This window comes from Homo sapiens, chromosome 21 (assembly GCF_000001405.40).
Source record: "Homo sapiens chromosome 21, GRCh38.p14 Primary Assembly".
In the NCBI taxonomy this organism is placed as follows: Eukaryota; Metazoa; Chordata; class Mammalia; order Primates; family Hominidae; genus Homo; species Homo sapiens.
In genome coordinates, this window is record NC_000021.9 from 16,793,292 (window position 1) to 16,802,495 (window position 9,204).

Consider the following 9,204-nt stretch of genomic DNA (forward strand, 5'->3'; position numbering starts at 1 on the left):
TTAAAATCCCATATCATGTGATTACAATCTTTTGAGATTGTAGGCCATATAGTCCTAAAATAAATGTCCAATAAAGTATCCATTTTATAAATATATGCTGAGCACCATAATATTGGCTCAGCACTATGTTAGCTATTATGAGAGATAAGAATGTTGTGTAAAAATTCCTGTTTTTCAAGGAGTTTGTGATCTGGTTAGGGAGAAGATATTAATGCACATGAACAAGTATCAGTAGCTTTTGGAAAGTTCATAATGTAAGCACTGAAATATGAGACAAGAAACACTCTTGAACTATACTGAGGACTTGTAACAAATGTCTATAAGTATATCGTTAAGCCACATTTGATTATCCTCTAACTTTTCCTGTCTTCTGAGCTTACTTATCCTGTACCATTTCACAAATACCTAAGTCTCACCCCCATAAGAACAGAAATCCAGACCCCATTTCTGCTGTTTCTGAGGTCCCACAGTGAGTGTGTATTGTAGGGGTGGCAGTCATTTGTCATTTCTCAATTTTGTCTCTAGAGCTAGGATTCTTCAGCATTGTCTCAGTCCATTCCATCATTGGTTCTCTTTGCTGAGCCTGTTCTGTCTAGTCAATTGCCCCTCCAAGACATGGATATGTATCCACACATTGGCTTCCTTACAGCAGCTTACTTGATACCACATTGGTTTAACAAACTAACTTGAAGTTCTAAGGATTGCATTAAAAAATTACAATGCAGGGGGAAAGAACCTTAAAATTGATTATAAAGTAGCATGTCTCCTGGAGTGTATCAGCTATGCCTGTCCTTTTTTTATTCTAAGGCCCTTTTCTCTTCCCCTGAAATCTGAGACCCTTCTGTCCCAAACTACCTAACTTTCCAGCCTCTTTTCTCTGGTTTCCTTAGTGCAAATCCCGAAATCAGTTACAACGTGACAACGTTTCAAGTTTGTGGTTCTGCTCAGAATAAAACCAGACTTTTACATAATTGGCAGAGCTCTCTATACTCTCAACTCAAATACATGCTATAGGGTAAGCTCTGGGCCTTATTTAAATTAAATATGTTAAAATGAGGGGGAAAAAAACCCTAAACAAGATTTGTTGAATTCTGCTTAAAAATGTAGTAATATTTATGCATTTTGTGAAATTAGTCACTCAAATACACCACAAATCTACTTAGCAATTTTAACAATTACTATGTATCTTTAATTGCTGAAAGAATTTACACAGGGGATGATACTCTCTGTAGAAAGAAGAAGTTTTAAATTACTATTCATTTTATGATTGAAGCCCAATGTCTTAATTGATAGATAACAAGTTTTTTCAATAATTTACCTTCCTGAAAACCATACATTCTCATTCAGTGACAAAGCTCAGTGTAGCAAATTTGTGTACCATTTAACAGAAAAGTTTTGTAGTGCTCTAGGTATAATATGGAAGCCCATAAATAAATGTATTTATTCTTTCCCTGCTTCCTAGACACATTTTTGCTTCTCTTTCCATGACAGTACTGAAAAACTTTCAGTTAACCAATAATTTCCATTAGAAAATCATCTTCCTCATGGAAAACTAAAATATGGTTATAATTTAGATATCTTAGAGAAGTCACAAGGATATCATATTCTAAAATATTAGGTATGAGTCTCTTTAATATTGTGCTTCTCAATTCCATTTCAAATAGCTTACCAAGCTTTCAAAAAAATCTTGAAGAATAGCCAAATGTTTTAGGAGACTCAGAAGTAATTGAGCTCAGAATCAAGGACAGAGTTCTGTGGCATACACTGGAGATCTCCTGGTGGACTCACTGCCTAAGTCATTTGTTCAAAAAATATTTGCTGAATGCCTACTACGGACACTGCTGTGCTGGGAGCTGGTGAATCAGCGATGAACTATGGGAGCTGGTGAGTCAGTGATGAACCGGACAGCCAAGTACTGACCTTTAAGAATCCTATGCAGTAACAGAAGAGAAAAATGATGACCAAGGACACAAGAAAAAAATAATAATTGAACATTGTATTGAATGCAAGGAAGGAGATATCCACAAAGTTATGCTGCAGCAGAAATAAATGTAAATGTCCTTAAACATATTTTTTAAAGTTTCAACTTCAAAAATAGAAAAAAATTAATTGAAACTACAGTGACAAAATTTTTCGCCTATCTGATAAAAATTGAAAAGTTTGATAGCACATTCTGTAAGTAAGAATGAAGGAAAAGGGCATTCTGATTGTAAATATAAATGAGTTTATCCTGTGTGGAAGGCAATTTAATAGTATCTATCAATATATAAAAATATACAACTTTTGTCCCTTAATTAGAAATAGGAATATGACCTATTAAATTTGTTCTTATTTGTACAAAAGAGTGTCATGTACAGGATTATTCACTGCAATTGTGTTTTTAGTGAGAGAATATTGGAAAAATATCTAAACATGCATCAATAAATGGTCACTTTCTTACATTATACGACAAAGATAAAATAAAATGCAATGTAGCCACAACGCAGAATGTGAACATAGCTTTTTGCTCATTTGTTTGTTTGCTGATATGGGCCCATCTACAAGATAGTGTTGAGGAAAAAAATTAAGCTTCCGTATTTGTATAAGATGTTAAAAAGAATGTGAGCACTTATATGTGTATATGCTTAAAATATCTCTGAAAGTGGAGTGAGTTTTTTCAATGTACATATTTCCTTTTGTTCCTTTTAAATTTTGAATTATGTGAATATATTCTCTTTAAATCATTTAAATATTTTGGTAAAGATAAAAATTTCCAGTAGTATCTATTATGGGATTCTCATTACCATCTCTATAAGCTGTAGGGTTTGAGAGCAAAGTTTTTGAAAAATTTATTATGTCAGATTCAACTGAAGTAATATGTATCAGAAGCTACTGGGTTCAAGCCACTGTGCTTTTGAGAAATAAAATTAAAATAAAGACCTTGTACCCAGAAAATGCAGTTTAATGGATGTATCTATTTTTATAGAAAACATAAATTGTGATAAAATAATTAGTAGGAGAACAAAGACTTAAGTTTTCCTATACCTTTCAAAACTTTTCCAGAGTAAGCACCAAGTACTGGATTTAAATAATTACTAAAAGTTTCTAGCATCTTATTTGTAAAACTCAATTTATTTTATGTAAATCCCCAAAGGATTGTTTGGCATATCCTTTGAATATTATTGACATATATGTGATGAACACTACTTATTAAAAGATTATGGAAAAGGTGTTCTAAAAGAATCTGCATTAGACATCTATTTAATTAAATTTATTGTTAAGATTATCCAAAAAAGTCAGAAATCTGATGTGTTCTTTGGAAATCACATAGACTAGACTCTAAAAAACCATGCTAGCAAAAAAATGCACTATGTTAAAATGTCTGGATCTGTCCTGTTTATTTTCTATTATCTGCCATTTCATTTCCTACCTATAATTTTATTAAATGGCTTTGAAACTACAATGATGCATGCAAACTGCACATTTTTTGTTATTGCTGTTTAAATATGCACAAGCCTGGAATTGATGGAGAATTTATTATATCCCCCAAAATGAGAGGAAATAAAACAGACATGAATATTCAAAACAGAACTACAAGGTTAGAAGTCTGAATGTCATAATATAATAGCAACAATAAGTGATCACACAAGTCATTCATGTTCCTTTTCTTTTTAGGAGTGGATCCAGAATTTGTGGAATTTAAAGCTTACATAATGGTGAGAGGGGGGAGTAAGGATTAAAAAAAAAATTTACAAATGCAAATTTAGTTACAGGGCCTTAGAAAGAGCCCTTACAAGAGAGGATCCTTGAAGATGAAACTTATTTGCTTCACAGAAATTTACTTTGCTTCTCTTAGCAAACAAATTTCCTTAAACTTCATTCTCTGGTTTAGTATGAATATTTATTTGGGATGGTGGCAGATGTGCATATCAATAAGTCATAAGTAATCAAAATAAGTTTTCCATATCACTATCTAGATGACATTCCCATTTATTAGGTTTTCCTCATTTGAGAAAGAAAAATTAAATCTGCCATATCAGATTCAATAGAACAGACCAAAAATTTCCTCTCACAGAACATAGCATCTTGCAATGCAATTTACATACTGTTCTTTTAGCTTACTTGTGGAAAATTCAACAATGATTTTTTTTATTTCTCAAAAGCTGTCTGCAATTGCAGCTCTGACATTTAATTCTCTCACCATTGAGTATTTATTAGTATGATAGCATGCAGCTCTTTCCCTTCTGCGGGATCCCTCTCTATTCAGTCTTGACTGCAGATATATGCAGAATTTCCCTTGAGGTAAGAAAAAGGCAGACATGTCTAAGTTTTCTCCTTTTCATTATGCCAGGGGGAAACCAGTTTCTGTTAATTCTGGTAACCATGTTATCTAACTCTCAAAACAGGAAAAATGATGGGGAAGAGCGGAGGCAGAAGTTCTGAGAAGCATCCCCTGGTTATTGTTGCCAGGGCAACTGAAACTTGGCATCCTCCAAATAGTCATCGTCTGTCACACTAGGGGTATAATTCACAGGCATGCAACACTTTTCAGTGGATCTTTAAAAAAATAGTGGGGGAGGGGTGAGGAATAAATGAGAATTTTAAATAGGCAAGTAGACAAAATGCATGCCTAATATTTAGAGAGATAATAGGCATAAGAGAAATACACTTTTGAAAAATGTAAGTGTCACTGTTATATATTACTCTGTTTCTTATTGCACAAATTAGCCACTATGCAATCTCAATAATTGTCTACCCATCTGGCTTCTTTTACGAGAACCCCTTCTTCCTCCAAATAATAGTCTTCTGTAGTATGACTTCAGACTAAACATATGCAGAGATTTAGATGTCATTTTCTTTTTCACAGTCCTTAAGAAAGCCAAGAATATTTTCATACTTTTCATTGTTTACCAGAATGTCTGACGTAGAGGCCAGCCTGGTCTTGCTATAAGAGAAGACAAAGTATTTATTACTCCACTATTCATTGAGAAAAACAGCCTTGAGCCTTGAAATGCCCTTGGCTAAATCTAAATTGTACAATTCATTTTTCTTATGTTTGCATTTCTTAGAGCCAAGGTGTCTGCTTAATCTTTCTAATCACCAACTGGCTTTCTTGACATTATAGAAAATGTATTTTCTACATTTAAAAAAAAAAAAAAAAAAAAAAAAGAAGAGGTACCACTCCTCAAATCATATAACAGAAAGGAAGCCTTAAAAATACCTGTCATCAAAGTCACATAAAACCCTGACAGCTTCAACCTCCTTTTAGTATTTGCCAGTGTCAGCCTCATAAAAATGTGAAGGAAACCCATATTAATGTATCACGTTTACAAAATGGGCTTAATGGCCAATGCATTTTTGGAAGTAAATGGAAGAAGGAGAAAGAATATTAACCAAATTGCACTGGATGAGCACGAAAAAATCATAATGGATTAAAGAAGGAATAAAAATCAGAAATGTAACTTCTGGCAATGACTTTACTAAAAGGTTTCCTTTCCTCTTAGTATTGCTAAAGTCCTCTCATGAAAGCCAAATATATACTTTCATATAACCAAGATAATGAAACTAGGCACCAAAGCAAATAAAAAATACTTCCTTAATTACTGGGCTTAACATTTCACATTGGCTCAGCCAAATCACCCCTGGCTTTGGTACTATTTTACATACTGTTTTTAATGTAATCACCCACATTTCGTGAACCAATACACCCACTACTTGGAACTCCAAAGAAGGAATAATCACATAATGGCATCCATAATAAAAATAATGGCTCATTTTTGCTAAGCATTTATTATAAGCCAGCCACTATCATATATACTTTACAGAGATTACCTCATTTAATGCTCACATTATGAGACTCTGAATTAAATTATTCTCATTGTACAGATTAAGGAATTAAGGCACAAAGAAGCTATGTAGGCTCAAGTTTGCATAGCAAGAAGATGGCGGTACCAGGATAGAAGATCCGTTTTTTACATTAGTGTCCCTTGCTGTGGCAATTTGGTTGGATGCCCGCTCTCCACTTGGGCCTGTGTTCTCCTCTTACCCAGAGTATTTCTGTGAGTTTGGGCTGCAACTTTTCTACCTAATCCTTACTTTTTATGTGGCAGATGCTTCTGGTTACCTTCTTTCTGGATCTCTTGTTCTCATCCAGATCCCTTTTTATATTTATGTTTGCATTAAACTCTAATATTGTAGCTTGAAGCAACCAAGAGACTCATCTGTGTATCCTAAGTTTTATTTCTTCTCTTGACATTCTCTGATGGTATCATCGTGCCTAGGTAGATATCTAATCCTGAGCAATATCTTCTACTACTTCCCACCTTGCTTTTTTGGTTTATGTACCTTGGATATGGGACCATTTGAATTTGCATGTACTATGGTTTGCACCTAGGGAATTGGTACCTAAAAAAAATCTCACTGCCCCCCATCCCACATACAGACTCACAAATGGATACTCTGCCTCTCAATGATTTTTATCCATGCAGAATAAAATTGTGCAGAATAACCTGACATGTACCATGCTAGTAAACATAAACTTCCTGAGAGAATAAATTCTGAGCATCTTGACAGCAAAGACGGAATGTTGCTCATTTTTATACTTGCATCTCAAGTAAATAACTAGTGCTGTTCATTATATACAGATCTCAATAACCAATTAGAAATTAAATGAGATCATATGCCGAGAAACTAGCATTATAATTTGCATTAATGAGTATACTAGTCAGGCTATGCTAGGCTGTACTGCACTAACAAGCACACCCAAATCTCAGCAGCTTTTCAAAACACAAGTTTATTTTTCATTCTCCTTGTCTGTGCCTTGAAGGTTAGCATGCAGACTCTGCTTATCATAGTCATTCATGCTCCAGGTGATTAAATCTCCATCTCAACACATGTTCTCATGTGGCTGAGACCAAAACAAAACAAAAAAAAGAAATAAAACAAATATCTTGTTTAACTTTCTGTCCAGAAATGACCGATATTATCTTCATTCACCTATTATTGGGCAAAGTAAAACAATATGGCCATTCCTAACTACTAAAAGGGCAGGTACATGCAATCTTTCTGTTGACTGGGAAGAAGAAATGAACAAGAATATCTGGGAACAGCCCAAATGACTATGGTAAGGAACATGCCGTTTATGCCTTTTCTCCAGAGTAATTCCTTATATTAGTGCATATGTGCTCAGTTTATCATCTTAGCCCAGAAATTGTGTGGCAAGCAGTAAGGAGAGAAAAGGCAGTAATAGGGGGGCAGATATCAAGGATATATCAAGTTCAAGCAGAGTGGCACCGTCATAGAGGAGGAGAGGAGAGAGAGGACCACAAAAAGCAGTCAACCCCAGTCAGTTTTATTCAGGGGGAAAGAACCTAGACTCTGTGGCAATAATTTTAAGGAAAGTAGGATATTGGTCACACTTCATTGCATAAAATGTGGAAAGATGTTATCAGTGTATCCAGGAAGTAATGTGCCCTACCCAATACATCCCAGAGAGAAACAAGAATACATTGTCTAATTTCCATTTCCTTTTTGACACATCTGTGAACTTTATGAGGTCAAGTGCCCTGTTTGTGTCTAACCTAAAACCTCTTGATGTGTGTATGTCAAAAAAGGCCAACAGTGTACCTGCAAAAATAATAATCTTGTGTATGAATTATATGTTCTGGATGAATCCAAACAAAAAATTTCACTCATAAAACCTCCCAGTAATGAATACAAGCTGTACTGACTTAAACAAAGTGTGGATAGGATGCAGTATGTTCAAATTTAACAGTAGGAAAATCACTTAACTGAAGATCACATTCCTACCTAGTGCCATGATTCATTCACACATGGTGTGGAGAGTCACTGGTTCCAAGATGATCTTCCCGAACAGTGAGCGTATTACAAGAATTACAAAGGGTAGGAGATAGGTCCTTCTTTCCTCTATTAGTACTATCTTTAAAAAGTAATTACAAAGCATTGCAGATATTCTAGAATGGGGAAAAAAGTAAGTCTATGCTTACTTTTATACAGTCATTCTTAGTTACTTGATTTTTCTATAGAATGAAATCTTTTCTGTTTTCCTTGTAGCTTCATATATAATTTCTGAGATAGATAATGGGAAATTTAAATACTCTAGTAATTATCTCCACATATCACAACTTCTGCCAAAAGGATTACCACATCCTTTATCCTGCCTTACAGGGTGTATCTCTATTGTGATTACACCTGGACATTCAGGCATAACTGATCATTGTGGGGATTATTAATGAGACAAAACTGAAAAACATCTATTTGCATGGAGAGTGAGAATCCTCTGAGGAGAGACCTACTCTTGAGGTAACAGGAACTTTGGAATCCTGAGTCTGAGCTAGTTATAAGAACTTAGTTGTCAGAAGGGAATAGAGATTCTTAGTACCATACAATGGCTCGTGTATAAGTCTGATGCTGGGATACACACTTGCATGCATATCTATATACCAGAGAGAGAAGCCTTGAAGTATAGCTTAAGGCTTCCTCACAGTGTAATGTTAAAGTATATTTTTAGGCTTCTCTCTTCCTAGCATAAGGGGCAGGTTTACGGAACTCTGTCACACACCAGTGCCCAAGAAACTATGCTCAGATCTCACAAAGAAGAGAGGAATTTTCTCTAACTCCTTCATGATCTCCACAGGCTTTGAGATCCCATGGGCTCAAGAAACAAATGAAAGAGAACATCTCTGCCCAGCCATAGAAGAAACTACCAGACTCTGAAGTGGAACCACTTATACCAGTGCATCTACACCAAAAGGTGGAATGAGAGTGGCTGCTTTTCTGGCAGCGTGGAGACGAACATTAGAAAGAAGATGCTGGATTTGGGTAGCATGAAGCAGTGACCGTGTGCCCCACACCCAGTGAGCAGCAAGAACCCCCTCTAGGACTGGTGGAGCTGGAACCATCATTAAAGGATAAACTGCTCATCTCAAACCAGAGGCAATTAAGTGACAGAGGGTTCTCGATCCGACGACTCTCAGCTTTTGACAGTGGCCATAGCAATAAAAACAGCTATGCCATGCAGAATTGTCTTTGGCATTGTCAGTCATGTGTCTACACTTGTACCTACTGCTGAACATTTGACAGACCCTCGGAGACTAACATATATGAGTCTAGAGTCTTTGCAGGAAACTAAAGTACATGTGTTATCAGTAGATGATAGTAATGATCTTTCTTATTTACTGAAGCCTGTATATGACCTCATATATA

The 9,204-nt window shown here is 35.3% G+C and overlaps 1 annotated feature.

Annotated features, from left to right (window-relative positions):
* Positions 1,180-2,379: an enhancer, noted in NCBI's record as "P300/CBP strongly-dependent group 1 enhancer chr21:18166790-18167989 (GRCh37/hg19 assembly coordinates)". NCBI's record gives its function as "activates an origin of replication core promoter dependent on BRD2, BRD4, P300/CBP, MED14 and CDK7 cofactors, with strong dependence on P300/CBP, by STARR-seq in HCT116 cells {active_cell/tissue: HCT116}" and the evidence as "EXISTENCE:reporter gene assay evidence [ECO:0000049][PMID:35650434]".